The sequence below is a fragment of the Homo sapiens genome, chromosome 21, assembly GCF_000001405.40.
Source record: "Homo sapiens chromosome 21, GRCh38.p14 Primary Assembly".
Classification (NCBI taxonomy): domain Eukaryota; kingdom Metazoa; phylum Chordata; class Mammalia; order Primates; family Hominidae; genus Homo; species Homo sapiens.
Window position 1 is genome coordinate 18,668,997 of NC_000021.9, and position 18,723 is coordinate 18,687,719.

The 18,723-nt window shown below is 34.5% G+C and overlaps 1 long non-coding RNA gene and 1 other non-coding gene across 2 annotated transcripts in view; both read right to left on the reverse strand.

The window, feature by feature from the left end:
* The window catches only part of MIR548XHG (MIR548X host gene), a 198,548-nt gene that overhangs the window by 107,732 nt on the left and 72,093 nt on the right, over positions 1-18,723 (reverse strand). The window lies entirely within an intron of this gene.
* MIR548X (microRNA 548x) lies at positions 17,094-17,168 on the reverse strand. Its single transcript, NR_036166.1, has one exon. It is a non-coding gene; the product is annotated as a microRNA 548x (primary transcript).

Genomic DNA, 18,723 nt, shown 5'->3' on the forward strand with positions numbered 1-18,723 from the left:
AGGCCGAGGCGGGCGGATCACAAAGTCAGGAGATCAAAGACCAACCTGGCTAACATGGTGAAACCCTGTCTCTACTAAAACATACAAAAAATTAGCCGGGCGTAGTGGCGGGCGCCTGTAGTCCCGGCTACTTGGGAGGCTGAGGCAGGAGAATGGTGTGAATCTGGGAGGCGGAGCTTGCAGTGAGCCGAGATCACGCCACTGCACTCCAGCCTGGGCGACTGAGGGAGACTCCGTCTCAAGAAAAAAAAAAAAAAAAAAAAAAAGAAATGTCTAAATAGCCTGGTAGAGAGGAGCTAAGAAAATCTGGCCGTTAATCCATTTCCTCTCTTTTTTGTACGGGGGAGGAAGTATTTGACACCACAAGGAAAGAGGAAAATGTCAGGTGATCTAGTATAATCTCTGTTAATGGGACCGCTGGGTAACTAGCTTGATGATATTTGCAAAGAGACTGTATCTACACAGTCTTTAGCAGGCTATTTCTGGCCAAAAGAGTATTAATAGTAACTAAACTCTGAATCTGTGGACCTATGAGATATGCCTTTTTAGAGAATGATTTGTAAGCTATACAACTCTTATGGTACAAAATAGAGCTGGTTCATTACTTAAACACAATTGACTCCTTTTTGTGGAGAGATATAAACGTTACTCAGAGACTCCAAATAATACTTAGGTCTAGGAAATCTATCACTGCAGGAAGAAAGGTTTGGGAAAGCTGAAACCAGAGGTTAATCTGATTAGGTCCACCAAACTTAACCTGTCCTACTTGCTTTTTGTTATTATTATTATTATTATTATTATTATTATTATTATTATTATTGTTATTTCTCATATAGCTAAAAGCCACACCACTAAATGTTATAATTTAAACTTCCCTGGCTTCCTTATAGATAATATTTCTGACATAGGTGTCACTGTGGTAACAGTGGCTTAAGTTGCTTTTTCAGGAGCTGGGGGCAGCTTAAAGCATTTGAGACCACCAGTCATTCAACTGCGCCTGCACAAATGCCCAAGAGTTGGTCTTTTGACCTCAGAGGGCCAAAAACTCCACCTCAGTTTATGCTAATGCTGCCATTTTCTGAATATGTGTCCTATGATGAGTCACGAACCCTTATGGCATTTGTGTAGATCACCAATTACTTCACTTTTTCACACTGCCAATCACCTTTCCCCATGCATTAGGCAACCGCTCTTCTATAACCCATAAATATCCCTAAGGCTTATCTTCAAAAAAATAGATTTGAGAGCTGTTCTTCCATCTGCTCGTTGAGGTACACTGTGAATAAACCTTTTCTCTTTTGCAAAACCTGTCATCACAGTGATTGGTTTACTGTGTACAGGAAGAACAAACCTGATTAGTTTCATGCAGAAATTCAAGGATCGTTAGAGAATACTGTGAGCAACTATATGTCAAAAAAATGCGAAAATCTAGAAGAAATGGATAAATTTCTAGACACATAAAACCTACCAAGATTGAACCATGAAGAAGTAAAAAATCTGAACAGTAACAACATCAAAGTGATCATAAAAAGTTTCCCAGCAAAGAGAATTCCATGACCTGACTTCATCACTGCTGAGTTTTATCAAACATTTAAAGAACTAATACCAATCCTACTCAAACTACTCCAAAAAATGGAGGAGGGAATACTTCTAAACAAATTCCACAAGGCCAGTATTATCCTGATACTAAAACCAGACAAAGACACATTTTAAAAAAATGAATACTGATGCAAAAATTCTCAACAAAAATACTACTAAACAGAATTCATCATACCTGGCTTATTTTTTATTTTCAGTAGAGATGGGGTTTCCCCATGTTGGCCAGGCTGGTCTTGAACTCCTGACCTCAGGTGATCTGCCTGCCTCAGCCTCCCAAAGTGCTGGGATTACAGGTGTGAGCCACTGCACCTGGCCAGTAGCATTTCTTTATGTAAACAATGAACAATCGGAAAAACAAATCAAGAAAGTAATCCCACTTACAATAGCTACAAATAAAATTAAATACCTAGAACTTAACTAAATAAGTGAAAGATTTCTGGAATGAAAACTATATAACATTTATTCCAGAGATTGAAGAGGACACCAAAAATTAAAACATATTCCATGTTATGAATTGGAAGAATCAATATTGTTATAATGTCCACACTACTCAAAACAATCTGCAGATTCAATGCAATCCCTATCAAAATGTCCATGACATTCTTCACAGAAATAAAAAAAAAATTCTAGAAGTAATATGGAACCACAAAAGACCCAGAATAATCAAAGCCATCCTAAGTGAAACAAAAACAGAAACAAAAACAAAACTGGAGGAATCACATACCTGACTTTGAATTATACTACAGAGCTATAGTAACAAAAACAGCATGGTACTGACATGGAAACAGACAGAGAGACCAATGGGACAGAACAGAGAAACCAGAAATAAATTTTTACATCTACAGTGAGCTCCTTTTCAACAAAGGTGCCAAGAATATTCATTGGGGAAAGGACAGCCTCTTCCAAAAAATAGTGCTGGGAAAACTGTACATTCATATGAAAAAGAATAAAACTAGATGCCTATCTCTCAGCATATACAAAAAATCAAATCTAAATGGATTAAAGACTTAAATCTAAGACTTCAAACTATAAAACATCTACAAGAAAACACTGGAGAAACTGTCCAGAACATTGGGCAAAGATTTGTTGAGTAATACCCCACAAGCACAGGCAACCAAAGCAAACCTCAACAAATGAGATCACTTCAAGTGAAAAACCTGTGCAGCAAAAAGAAGCAATCAACAAAGTGAAGAGGCAACAGAATGGGAGAAAACATTTGTAAACTACAACTTGACAAGGTATTAATAGCCAGAAACTATAAGAAGCTCAAACAACTCAATAGGAAAAAGCTAATAATCTGATTTTAAAATGAGCAAAAGATCTGAGTAGATATTTCTGAAAAGAAAATGTGCAAATGGCAAACAGGCATATGAAAAGGTGCTTGACATGATTGATCCTGAGAGAAATGCAAATGAAAACTATAATGAGATATCATCTCACCCCAGTTAAAATGACCTTTATCCAGAAGACAGGCAATAACAAATGCTGGCGAGGCTGTGGAGAAAAGGAAACTCTTACACTGCTGGTGGGAATGTAAATTAATTAGTACAATGACTATGGAGAACAGTATGGAGGTTCCTTAAAAAAGTAAAAATAGAACTAGGATGTGATCCAGCAATCCTACTTCTAGGTATATACCCCAAATAAAGAAAAGATGTATATCGACAAGATACCTGCACGCCTATGTTTATTGCAAGACTATTCACAATAGGCAAGGTTTGAAAGCAACCTAAGTGTCCATCCGCAGGTGAATGGTTAAATAAAAGGTAGTATATGTTCAGAATGGTATTATTCTGCCATAAAAATGAATGAGATCCTGTCATTTGCAACAACGTGGATAGAACTGGAGGTCATTATATTAAGTGAAATAAGCCGGAACAGAAAGACAAACTTCACATGTTCCCACTCACCTGTGAAAGCTAAAAATTAAAGCAGTTGAATCCAGGGAGATAGAGAGTAGAATGATGGTTATCAGAGGCTGGGAATCATTGTTGCAGAGGGGACAGTGGGGATGGTTACATACAAAAATATAGTTAGATAAAATGAGTAAGATCTAGTATTTCATAGCAGAACAGGGTGACTGCAGTCAACAATAATTTATTGTACCTTTTTAAATAATTAAAATAATATAATTTGAATGCTTGTAACACAAATGATAAATGCTTCAGGTGATGGATACCCCATTTATCCTAATGTGATTATTACACATTGCTTGCATGTATCAGAATATCTCATGTACCCCATAAATATATACACCTACTATGTACCCATAATTGTTTTTTAAAAAACCCTAATTGGTATTAAAGCCACTGCCTATGTCCTATTTCCTGATTCCCCTCTATTCATTTGAGTAACATGATTGTCTGTAACCTAAGACTGTTGGTCAAATTTGATGCTTACTAAGATCACTCAGTTTTTTTATGAGTCCTGTTTGACAATTATTCCCTTTGTTTTAGCTCCTAGGAGCTGCCTCTATAGCTTTTGTCCCAGAATAAGAAGTTAAATGAAACAGACCCACAGTTGACACTTAGCCTGAAGGACAGAAAAAACTAGCCAGAAATTTGTATGTAACATAACAAATAAATAAATATTTATTATTAGAGACTGAGATTTAGGATTTCATTTATTACCCCAATGAAGGTGACTAGTATGGCAGGATATGTTTGAAGAGGATCCTCTTTTTAAGCAATTTATACTCAGGGTTGCATTTGTAGTTTAAAAGCTCAAAAGGCGCCATTTTGTCTGAAAAAGTAGAACCTGAGAAGGATAATGACAGAATCTATAGAATCACAAAGATTATGTAACAAAAATTGCTAAGGGGTGGCATGATGGTCATTCCTTTCATAAAAGTATTCCTGAATTATCTAATAGCATTTTTTTTACATTTTAATTTGTTAAACTTTGTGAGTACATAATAGGTGTATATATTTATGGGGTACATGAGATGTTTTGAGATAGTCATGCAATGTGACAATTTAATAACTTCTTGATAACTATGGATTCTGTGGTTCAGAAAACTCTCTAATCTTTTCTACATAGTTCCATGTTCTTTCTTTATCATTATGTTTCAATTAGCCATAATATTTCCCACAGCCATAATATAGATATTAAAATGCGGCAGAGGTATGGTAAAGAATAGCAAAACCTCAGTACCCCCGCAACACACACATTAAAGCTTTATCAGCAATTATTACTATCTAGGAGTGGGATTTAGGCTTATTTTTAAAATAAATATTCTGTCAGTTTCCTTTAAAGAAATACAAATATGTTCTGCAAGTGAATAATAAAACTGCTTTACTTTTAGGCAAAATTTATTTTTCTTCTGATGAACTGGTTTTGATGGATAAGTTGCAGTATTAAAAAATGGAGTTGACATGTGAAAAGAAAGTATTGCACAATTCATTACAGGAGTCAATTTCTAGTCTTTCTGTGTCAATTCAGATATCAGAAGTCATGTTCTTAACCTAGACTATCTCTAAGGAAGTTATAAAAACTGAGATTATGATAAATAACACTAGAATACGCTACTGAAAAATGATTTCTAAGTAGTGCAATCAATATCCATTTATAGACACACAAAACTGTAGCCCATAGGATTCAAAAATGTACTGCAAGCAATTTAAAATAAAGCAATTTCATTACTGGAAGACAGCAGAAAGCTTCTTAGGGAAAATTCTAAGATTTTGTTGGTTTATTTAAATTTTAGATTTTAGTAAAACCACTAATATATCACAATCTCCTGCCCATTTTGTTTTTAAGGACTCAAAGCAGGTAATTCACAAAGATTGCAATAAAGCACAAACCCAGAGCCATTAAAATGGAAAGTGTCTATTTATGCTAATCTTTTCCTCCAATATTCACCAAAAATGCAGGTTGCTGTATATTCTTTATTAAGGCTATATAATGAAACTTTTTCTACATCTAAATGACACTTTTCTAGGAATATATATATGTGTATATATATACATATATATATTCTAGGAATATATATATACACATATATATTCTAGGAATATATATATACACATATATATTCTAGGAATATATATATACACATATATATTCTAGGAATATATGTATATAGAAAGTTATTTAAGTGACAATAGTTCAGAGGTACTTGTCAGACATACTTTCATCAGATAAATTCTACATGGAAAGGCAGGGGATTGAATGGGAATTTTAATGTACATATCCTTTCTGGGTAACATTAAATTTATCTCCTCTACTGACTTTCTTAATAAGATGATTTACATATCTGTTGCTTTTCTGTTGGTACTTTCTGGATATTTGTCATTGCAAGTCTGTTAAATCACTTGCAATGGCCTCTGACTGAATGTGGTGCATGAATCCTAGATGCTATTTTCGCAACTTAATTTATTGCTCTCTTTTCTTTGTCTGGTTTCTTTCTAAATACCCTTCAAAATCTAGCTAAAGCATCACAATTTTCAGGTAGCCTTTCCAGAATGATTAGTGTGACCAAAAAAATGCTCCTTCATATTCTAATAGTAACCTATTCTTAACATATAACACAGCTAACTAGTGATAATCAGAAGTCTACTGGTGATTTTTCTTCATTAAACTTTAATTAGAAAAAAACTCCGAGATATTTAAATTATCATTTTTTCAGGGAAAAATAAACTATGATATTTGAAAATAGTCACCAAATTAAATATTACAGTAATAAAGCTAATCTCTGTGAAGAGATAATGGCATTCTGCTTCTATCCAAGAAAGAGTAACAGGAAATGGATTTATGCTCCTGCCCTAAATCAATATAAAAAATATATCATAAGAGTTTTCAAGACATTAGTTACCAGCAAACTTAGCATAGTGATCTTGAGAGACAGGAAACAAATGAATGGAACCTTATGATTATTCTGTGTTCCTGCCTTGATAGTTTCCAGGGTATTGTGAAGAATGAAAATCTAAGACAGAACTTAGAGGATGTCTTGAGTTTGGGACACAGAGCTAAAATACCAGACAGACTGTAACCCCTACAGTTCATAGTGCTGAGTACTGTAGAGAACAGAGAGAGAGAAAAGGAGAAGGAGAATGAATACTGGAGATCTGAAGAGAGTCACCCTATATTATTCAGGAAAGTACGATAATGAGAAAAATACTCAACTCAAGGCTAGGATCAGGGAGGGAGAGAAAATATCTGACAGGTTACAGAGAATAGTACTCAGAACTCACGCAGAACAGGGAATAGTATGTTTCCATCAACCACATTGAACGCATAATTCACGGATCACTGGATAGAACATTCAGTATTCATTAGTGAAAAAACTGGTGACATTTGAGTAAAGTCTGTGGTTTTGTCAACATCATTGTATCAATAGTATTTTTTTAATTTTAATAAATGTACCATGATTGTATAAGATGTTAATATTAGTGAAAGTTGAGGGAAAGGTACTTGGAAAGACCCTGTTCTATTGTGTTTTTGAGTTTTTTTATAAAGTTAAAATTATTTCAAAATAATTTGAAAACAAGAGTCACATCACTATATATGATATTCAAATGGCTAATAAACGTGCTCATGTACTTATTTTTATTAGTAATTATGGAAACGGAATCTAGTACTACTACATCTTCAGTGGAATAGCTAAAATAGAAATAAATAATAATAATGGAAATCCAAAAAAAAGAAAATGGGCAATACCAAATGGAGGCTAGAATGTAGAACAACTAGAACTCTTGTAACACGATTATTTGGAGTACAAACTGGCACAATTGTTTTGGAAAAGTTGCCTGTAATTATCTACCAAATTTGAACGCATTCACATACTATAAATTATTAAATCAAGTTGTAGGTGTACACACAACTTAATATATAGCATACATATTGTTTACAATAATGTTCACATATGCACCAAAATTATAAGAAAGTATACTCATGTTGCACTCATACTCAAGCAAATACATAATTTTATATTCAATTTTGATAAACAGGCAAGTCAACTCTATCAGGATAGAGTTGACAAATCAACACAAGTCAGGATAGTAACTACTGTGGGCAAGAGAGTAAGGGTAAATTGAAAAGGAGAAGGAAGGGGCATCTAGCAGATGGTAATGTTCCAATCTGCAAACTGTGTGGTAGTTACATGGATGTGTTAACCTCATGACAAGTTAACAGGCTATTCACTTTTCTGCACTTCTCTCTATAGACAAAAAGTTAAAAGGTACTTAATAAAAAACAAGTTTCTAAATTAGTCTCATCTTCAGTTCTTTCTTTCTTGGCTTGTTTTTTTACACCCCAGAACATCAATGTACTACTTAAAAATGAATGAATATATTTGAATCATTATAAGAGTAAATATTAGTACCTGCTAAGAAATCATTTCTAAAACTTACTGGTCAGAATGATTCTATCTGGTTTTATATAGATATCTCATCTTGTTAATTCCCTCCTGTACCTTAAAAAATGCTAACCTATACTTTAAATACACTTGCCCATCAAACTGTATCCACAAAAATTAATGCTAATGAGTAAAATCAAAGTGGAAGCAGAGGGTATCCATTCAGGATTCATCAGAATTATGCTTTTGTTTACAAATCTAATGTCTGATTTCTGTAAGACCGTATCTCTGACTTGTTATTGACAAAGATTTTAGCACTAACATTTTTATACCTGCAGCAAAAAACAATTTGTCTTGTAGGCAAATGATACCTCTATTTCAGTTTTCTTCGAATTCTTCCATGAAAACATCTTGTCTTTAATTTATAAGATTTAGCAAAGACTACCTCCCTGGGAATTAAAAAACAAGCAAGAAACAAGCTGTCAGAGAAATTTTACTCCATTCTGCTGATGACTGTGTTTGGAATGTAATTATCACACAGTCAGTGGTGGGTCCAGGTTCCGTGAAGACTGAAGCTTACATAGTTTTTTGGGACGTCTTCAAGAAAAAAAAAGGGAGAGTGCAAATACATCTTATGAATGAAAATTTTATTGAAACATAGGATGATGTGAATACATTGTTAGGGCCCCTTCTTTGGGATCAGTATAAGTGAAAGAAAAATTGTTTCTTTTTCTTCATGGTAAGTCCAGTCCTTAATGGTATCTCTGGTTCTATGGATAGAACCAGGAGATAATCACATAAAGCAGATGTCAAAAAGAAGAGACACCTCTAGGGGAAGAGCAAGCAATGTAAATAAATGAAATGGGGTGTGTTTAAAGAAATTATAGTGCAAGGGTTATTACAAATGGCAACTTGCAACCTCATTCTCATGGAAGAGATAATAGGGGATGATGTAACTATGCCACTCTGCCTTGCATGATGGAAAACAGCCAAATTTCAAATCCACTCAACTTCTTACACATAGTTGACTGTTGTTCACTCTTCCCTTATTGAACAAATCAAAAGAAATCTGTATTTTCATTATAAATATCCCATTTTAAAAAATTAGCATTGAATTTAAACTATTGAGTATCTCCCTTTGAATATAGAACCTGGGATTTTCCCCAAGCCTTATATACACAAATGTAAATAGAACTAGTGAAACATGGCCCTAAAACTAACCCCGGCCATAGGTTGAGGCTAAAGATAAGTAGTGAGCTGGCCCTGAACGTTTTACCTTGTTTGTAATGATTTAAATTAGAAGATACTCCTTTCCCCACCAAAATAGGGGACTTGTTGAGACTTGGATACATATCTTAGATTTAGGGAATTCTGATGAGATGGAAAAAATTCAGTGGATTGACAAAACAATTAGGTCTGTAGTATGTTTGGCCTAAGCTCTCCTCATCTTTGTTAGTTTTCCCGGAAATGGATTCAAAGATACTAAGTGGGTTATAAATGCCACTGTCTTTATCAGAAGATTGCTTGAATGACTAGGAATCCATGGAAAGACCACCTGAGGAGCCTAATGCTGTGCCTCATGTTTAATGGGCCAAGCTGTATCTGTACCGTCATTTTAAATGGAAATATACAAAGTTAAGAAAGAAAAGCAGCAACAGTGTTTACGACATACTTCACAGGTGATGTTTGTTCAGGGGTAAAAAATAGGGTAAGTGTAGGCAGATGGATTCCAAAGAAATCAAAAGCTTGTTTAAATGCAAATGTTCCCAGGAAGAAGAAGCATTTAGAGAAGAAATGATATATAAATAAAGTTCCTCTCAGCAGAATGTTTTCTTGCTCACGTTTACAAGAGGCAACCTCAGGTGTCTAATGGAGATATAAGGAAGAACTAAAAGTGGATACCTTTGTGAAAGGAGTTTTGGTGCCTCTAAAAGCCTGCTGTCTGAGATACTTTATTTAGCTACGGAACTGAATGTGCAACCAAATTACAATCTTTCTTCTCTTTCAATTTTGTACACTGATCTTGACTTCAGGATTAGTTGACACTTCAAGAAATAAAAGTGCAATTTAGCCTTCCTTTTAATCTCCACTTAACTTCTGTGATAACAAGCAACTGCTTAGCAAGGTAATTAATGGGAAATTATGCTTTTTTATTGGCAACTTGGGATGTACTTCTGAAGAGCAAGACAGGAAGCACTGAATCATAATGTGGTACTAATTATTTTCTATCTCAGCTATTTTGGTCATAGCACCAATATGAGTCGGTAATCTGAAAGATGGGGAAGAGAATATCTCTTGGCCCACCAAGAGGACTTATTTGAGGGGGGAGAAGAATAAGTTAAATGTCTCCTATGTTTGAAGATACATGATCAAACACAAATCTCTTATTTTTTACATGTGGCATCATTATTACACACGACATACATTTGTTAGATCATTTAATCCCACAGAATACAGTGTGACAATTGCTTAAGAAAAAAAAGAGATGAAATCTTCATACCTCACTCAGACTTTTCAGCAGTGGATTAAATGAATATTTAGCAAAGCAAGTTAGCAGTTTGCAAATGTGCAATTAAAATCCTGGCTCTTCTCTAATTATGTAACACAAGTTAAATGGTCTTAATAGACATATAATGATAGCTTTATAAACCTATAGTTACTTATAATCAAATGTAATTTCTATTTCGGTTTTAAAGCACCCATTAAATGTCTATTATGATTTTTAAGTAATTTGGCAGACATTTAATGAATACTTTACAAACCTAAATAGTAATTATTTCAAGAGACAACTGTTAACATATAGGAGTAACAGCTATTCATTTGAACACATGGTTTAAAACTAATTACTGAGCTATTTATGCAATACCCAGTGGATTTACAACAAAAAGAAAATCATAATTTTATTGTAATCTTATCTCTTAAAATAGAAACAATTTTTTTCTAATTTTGTGCTGGGTTCTGTGACATAACCTGTCATCTTCCAAAAATGTAACACTGGTAAGTCAAATCTTTTCAGAATACCATGAATACTCCAGAAAATTAATTTTGTTCTGGGCAGAGAAAAAATGTATTTTATGCATTAATTTACTGTTATATTTTGGGTATGTTGCTAGGAGACTTAAATGAATAAAATTCAATGTAGACAGGTTCTTTCTTATTGCAAGTTGTAGGTGATGAACCTGTTTTCAATCTCTCAGCATAATGCTACAAATATTATCAAAAGACCACTATTTCTCACTATTTATAAAACAGGTATAGGTTGGCAACATCTTTTCACACCTAAAATGCTTAAAATTCTTTAACATGACAGAATTTTATGTTACAGTACAGCCACTAAACTTTTCTCATGAAACAGAAATTATTATTTTTGGCCCATGCAGCAGTTTTGAGCATTATAGGAGGACTTTACTGCCTATTTCATGGGTGATTCACATTAATTTGTAAAATTAAAATTGCTTTATTGTTTCTGTGAGATATAGGTATTTTAAGTCTGAATTTCCAACTCTGGTTGACGTAATTACACAAATTAGATAATTATTTGAAGGTGAGAAAGAAGTTTTCATACCAATGTGTATTAATATGTATTATATTTAAATTATCATTATAGTATTATGGAGAGTTAATTTCATAATTTAGTTTTTTTCATATACACTCTGTCTCAGCATTGTGGTCATTTGTGATTTTTCATATCCTAACCTGTCTTTCCTTTTTTGACAAGAAAAAATAATGCAATCATTCTCTCTCTCTACTAGCTTTACTTATTTATCATATAGGTATATGTAGCATCCATAAAATAATACATGTGTGAGTCTATTATATATAAACAAAATAATTCATACAGAATTCTCATTACATAAATATGTGTTTGATTTACTAACACCATTAATAACAGAACAGGCAACGTGCTTTCCTGAGTCTTTTCTTGAGACTCGACTGTTGGTCTTTTTCCATGTTCACGCACTAACATGGCCAAGCTCAGTTCTCTACTCAGTCAGAATGGCTAATGAAAGATGACTCTGTTTCTCTCTAAGATCCAGTCTAGATATAGCCATATTTAAAGAGGGTTCTCACTCCTGATTTATTCTAGTTCATCTTGGACAACAATTTAGTCTTAGAGAAGAGGGAAAAAATGCATCTCTATCTCAAGAACATGTATATCTTCTTATTCTTATGAAATATACTAGATAGAAAAAAAAGAGAAATACAAAATAAAAACAGGAGTCCTAAAATTTGGATAGCCCAACCCCCTTTCGCAAATTCAATGGTATCTATAAAATTCATGCTGGGTTACAAATAAAATATAGTTAAATGAGTTATAACTTTATTTAAATCCATATACAAATAATATTATAAACTAGAACATTTATATCTTCTTATTCTTATGAAATGTACTAGATAATAAAAAAGATAAATAAGAAATACAAATAGGAGTCCTAAAATCCTAAAATTTGGATAGCACAACCTCTACTCACAAACTCAATGACATCTATAAAATTCATGCTGGGTTACATATAAAACATAGTTAAATGAGTTATAACTTTGTGTAAATCCATATACAAATAATGTTATAAACTAATACAGTGTGATGTTTAGAAAAAGCTAACCATTAAGTCTCTATTTATACTGCCTATGCCTTATGATGTTATACATTAATACAATTTTTAAAATAACAAGTAGTCATTTGTATACATGTGCTAGAAACTCAGCAGAGAGGTCTGTACTACATACACTGTGCATCAGTCTGCCAAGGATTGGCATGTAGATAGTGATGCCATATAGTGATGTGAGATCAAAAAGAGGTTGCATAGCTAAAGAAAAGAAGAATATCAAAGATAGAGTTCTATAATATCCAACACCAAAAGTTCAGGAAATTAGGACAAGCAAGCATATGAGACTGGACAGATGTCAGAGGGGTAGGGAAAAACCAGGCAAAAATAGATGACTGGAATCCAAATAAAGCCATTCTTCCAAAAAGCAGGAGATATTTAAACATGTTATATCCTATTGGTAGATCAGCTTAAAGATTAAGTATTAATCATTAGATTTAACACTGGGAAATTAATTGGTAAACTGATAAAAGGAATACCAAAGTGCTACAATGAAAGATTGATGAAGTGGGCTGAAGAGACAAAAAAAAATAAAAAGAGTAAAAAATTAGTATAAGCTACTTTTAGTATTCCAAGGCATGCTCTTGTAAAGGGAAGTTAACAAAACCCAATCAATCAAACAAGCAGACAAAAACGGGGCTGTAGATGAAGACAGAATTGAAATTAAGAGAGCTTTTATTATAGGATGCAGATACAATGACACATTTATGTACTGATGGTAAGATCCAGGAGAGAGGGAAAATTTGAAGATGCTTTAGAAAGAGGAATAAAACATCAAAGCCAAATTTTTATAGGTAAAGCAAAGGGATGTAGTGCACAAAAATGAAAGTGAGTTGGTAGCTAGGAGTTTCATAGCTTATCCGCATGAACAAGCAAGCAAGGAGTTGGGCATGGTCTCAGGCGCTGGGTACATGTGGTAGTGGATCCTAAAGTTCTCTTGTGATTGATCCAATTTTCTTAGCAACATGGGAAGTGAGATCATTGGGTGATGTAAAGATAACTGTGGTAGTTCTGAATATTTGTGGAAAAAGGAAGTTTAAAATAGCTTTCTAGGAGAGTGGAATGAAAAATTCATTGAAATGTGTAATTTAATTTCTTTTCTTTCTTTCGTTCTTTTTTTTTTTGAGGCAGAGTCTTGCTCTGTCGCCCAGGCTGGAGTGCAGTGGCGCGACCTCTGCTCACTGCAAGTTCCACCTCCCAGGTTCCCGCCATTCTCCTGCCTCAGCCTCCCGAGTAGCTGGGACTACAGGTGACCACCACCACGCCAGGCTAATTTTTTTTTTTTGTATTTTTAGTAGAGACGGGGTTTCACCGTGTTATCCAGGATGGTCTTGATCTCCTGACCTCGTGATCCACCTGCCTCGGCCTCCCAAAGTGCTGGGATTACAGGCGTGAGCCACTGTGCCCGGCCGTGTAATTTAATTTCTAAGTAATAATGATGACCAACTGTTCTGAAATTAACAATCACACATTTAAATTGAGAGCAATCAGCATGTGGTGTTTTGCTCCAATAACATTTAGTTGCACATGCACATGAAAAAAGTAGTCAAAGAGTTGAATATTAAAGTGAGAAACTTATCAGATTTCTAAGGTAATGCCCAAAGTTTTCTGTGTGTATGCACATGTGCACGGGCAGGCATGTGTTTTGGTTGGCCTTCATCCACTGTAAAGCTTTATGTTGTGAAAATTTTCATATATTTTATAATAAGATATTCTGGAAGAAAAATGATGGTAGCTTAGTTTTGAATTTTCCTGCTTCTCTTCTAAAATTTATAGGGGGATGTATTAGTGTCCTAAGACTATCGTAACACGGTATCACAACCTGAATAGTTTAAGCAACAGAAATTCACTGTCTCACTGTTCAGGATGTTAGATGTCTAAGATCAGGTCTCAGCAGTGTTGATTTCTTCTGAGGGCTCTGAGGGAAGAATCTGTTTCAGGCCTTATGCCTGGGCTTTTAGATGGCCATCTTCACCGTGTACTCCTTCACATGGAGATGTGTGTATGTGTGTGTGTGTGTGTGTTTCTCCAAGTTTCCCCCTTTTCAGTCATATTAAATCAGGGCAGAACTTATGATCTCATTTTAACTTGATTACCTCTGTAAGACCCTATCTCCAAATAAGGTCAGTTTCTGAGGTACTGAGGATTATGACTCCAACATATGAATTTCGCCGATGGCACACAATTCAATCCATAACAGGCAAAGTGTTGCATTGCTATGACACAAAGAGACAAGGAGGGAAGAGAACTTAGAAATCACCTAATAAAATGCGCTCCCAGGAAGAAGATGGCATCATATAGCGTAGGAACCAACGTGCTCAAAGCTGAGCTGGAACAATGCATCAGTCAAAGAGTAGACAAACAGAAATGCAGGGTGTGGAAGAGGGAGGAGGAGAAGACAAAAATTTAAAAAAACAGAACTCTAAAATGCCACCATAGTAAGTGTATTAAAATAAAAATTTAAAGCCTCTAACTATGGTAGAATAACCAGATGTGAACTTGTCTGTTTGCCTTACAAAAATAGGAAACAGGATAAAACGTAGAACTAATAAATTGTCAGATATTTTACCATAAGCAGCACAGAACTATGAACTCTAAGAGAAGAGAGAAAATTGATGTAAGTTCGGTTATTACTCTGACTTTCTGTCTGAAGGGATTTTCTTGAACTTGATGCAGAGAGGTATCCAAAGCACAGCATGACAATCTCCTTGATATGAGGAGATAGAGATAGAATTTCAGACAGGTGGGTTTGGCTGGAAAATTGCAGAGCATGTATTAGAAAGAAGTATGATGTACAGACAATGGCTTTTATCTGCTTCAATCTGTTGCACAATGTAAACCACACATGCCGTGGATGAACATCTAGTAATAGTGTATAGAAAATCAAAGATAACTATGTTCACAGATTTCTCATTAGAAAGTATGCCAGGACGGGGCATGGTGGCTCATGCCTGAAATCCCAGCACTTTGGGAGGCCAAGACAGGAGGAATGCTTGACCCCAGGTGTTTGCGACCAGCCTGGCCAATATAGTGAGTCCCAGTCTCTAAAAAAAAAAAAAAAAAAAAAAAAAATTATATATATAGCCAGGCATTGTGGTTTGCGCCTGTAGTCTTGGTTGCTCAGGAGGCTGAGGTGGGAGGATGGCTTGAGTGTGAGAGGTCAAGCAGTGAGCTGTGTTCATGATGCTGCCCTTCAGCCTGTCTGAGATTGAGACTCTGTCTCAAAAAAAAAAAAAAAGAAAGAAAGAAGAGAAAAGAAAAGAAAGCAAAAAGAAAGAAAAAAAAGGAAACTATGCCAGGCAGTAGACAATAAAATATCTTTGAAGTAGGAAGGAAAAATAACCATCAATCTAGAATTTTATATAGAGTAAAATATCTACAACAAATCAAGGTAAAACTGATACTTTTCCCAACAACAAAAGTTAGAGGAATTTATCACTAACTAAATTGAACTAGATGAACTATTACAGTTTTTAAGCAAGGAAGCTGTTATTTGATGGAAGCTAAGGTATACATAATCAAACAATGATTACCAATGTAGAAGTTTCCTTTCATTTTCTGAAACCGTTTTTGGGACATAACACGCTGCTTATACTGTGTGTTTATATGGTACAGTATTATGTTAAAATAAACTAATAACATAAGGATATATATTGTGAACACAAAACAACCATAAAAATAGTTATAGTTGATTAACAGTATTTAAAATGAAATACAAAAATAATAAAAGACTGACAAAGAGCAAGTAAAAAGCAACAACAAAAATAGATGGAATAAGTAATAAGCAAGGACAAAAAAAAAGAACTATTGTTCCTTCTTTCTTTTCCTTTCCTTCTGTGTCACTTTCAGCATAGGTAGTTAAATAATGCAGTAAAGTAACAGAGAAAATAAATTATGTAATAGGGTTCCATGGTTGTTTGTGTTTATTGGAAAGTCACTGCTTGTTTGCAATTGAATTGAGTTCTGGTTTTGAATGGAAAGTGTAGCCTCTTGGAGTTGTCAACCTTGCTCACTCATTTATAGACATAAAATGCTTATCTTGTACTCAGAGTCTTGCTGAACTTTCAAGCACTGTGGGTCCACAAGAATTCTGCGTTCACGTGGCATCACAAACGCTGTATGTGAATAGAACAGTAAGAAACTGAACATGTATATCACAGACATCTCTGCTCACACTTGTACTCAAGTGTCCCATCATACTGCACTTTTAAAACACAGAGGTAAAATTATTTAAAAATTTAAGGCAGTAATAAGAGAGTGTTAAATCAAAAACAGGGCACTTCTGAGCATGAAATCTTGTATGACTGTACAAGGTACAGTGCATGAAGCTGGCCCTACATGAACAAAACGAATTATTTCCTTCTAAGTTCTAGAACAAAGTAGAGATATCCAGTCTAACCACTGAAATTCAATATTGCATCAACATTCTTGCCAATGCAATATGAGAAAGATAAAAATTAATACAACACATGCCATTAGTAACAACGTTAAAAACATGAACACAGGAATAAACTTAGCATAATGTATGCCATACCTGTTTACTGAAATCTTCAAAACTTTGCTGAGAAAAATAAAACAAGATCGAAATATTAAGATTGGTGTGAAAGTAATTGCAGTTTTTACGATTGAAAGTAACGCAAAAACTGCAATTACTTTTGCACTAACCTAATATATTGCAATGTATAATGTGATTACAGATTGGAAGGCTTAATGTTGTTATGATAGTATCTCTCCCCAAATTGATCTATATGTTCAATGCATATTTAAAAAACAATTGTAGCAAAGTTCTTTGTAGAAATTGTTAAGCTAATTCTAAATTTTATATGGAAATCCAAAGGACATATTATATACAAAATGATTTCTAGGAAGAAGAACAAAATTAGATGAGCAGCACCTTTTTCTTCCAAGACTCCCTATATACTCCTTTTAGGCACCAGTCATAGAGGTAGTATGGCTGAGGTTTACAACTGGATGTATAGATAATGGAACAGAATAGAAAATCCAGAAACATGTCATTTTTTATGTGCTTAAATTTTTGAAAGTATTTCCATGGTTATTCAATGAGAAAAATTATAGTCTTTTAAACAATTTTATCCCAGAGGGAATGTAAGTATATTTAAAGACAAAAAAGAAACCTTAACTTATAACATGTCTGCACATGCTCATATACAAGAGGTATACAAGAATAGATGGAAGAGGAGTAAGATAAAAATACCAATTAAGGCCTTTGGACTAACAAGTGATGGAGTCTTTTTTTCCTGCCACTAACACTTTTCGTATAACTTTTTCCCCTAGAAATTGTAACTAGCCACAATTTGAAAATTAGAGATTGACAGTGAAGTGTATTAGTCAGTTTTCATACTGCTGATAAAGACATACCCAAGACTGTGTACTTTATAAAAAAGAAGAGGTTTAATGGACTCACAGTTCCAGGTGGCTAGGGAGGACTCACGAACATGGAGAAGGCTAAAGGCACGTCTTACATGGTGGCAGACAAGAGAGAATGTAGACAGACAAGTCTACATTGTCTTGGCAGACAAGTGAAAGAGGAAATAAATCTTCAGATCTCGTGAGACTTATTCACTAACAGGAGAACAGTATAGGAGAAACCATCTCCATGATTCAATTATCTGCCATGAGTCCCTCCCACAACACGTGAGAATTATGGGAGCTACAATTCAAGATGAGATTTGGGTGGGGATGCAGTCAAACCATATTAGTAAGTCTCCCCTGCATTATGGTGTACTGTTAGTGTGTCACTCATATCATATCAGATTCCTTAAACATTTGTTTGCATAAAGTCCCCATGTAATTCTATTCCCCATAGTAAGTACCTGCTTCTCTAGCACCATGTACTATGTACTATGCACAAGTAGCCAGAATCAGATTTGTCTACAGAATTGGAGAACTATTATCTCCGAACTTTTGTTCTCCTGCTAACAGCTCTTAAACATTGAGAGATGTGTGTAGAGGCTTAAATACTCCAAGCGCTTTTTCTCTAATCAGGAATAGACTATTTTTGAAGGATTGAGTAAAAGCTGTTCTTTGCAGGACTTTTCTATTATCATACTCATTTTTGGACTCCTCTCATGTCCTGTCTCATTTCCCCATGTGGTTATCAACTTGTCTAGGGATAATGTAAAATAACACATATCATGCTGGTCTCAGGACAAAACTCCATTTATTACAGTTGGTGCAAAACAGTCAGATTTTATGCCTATG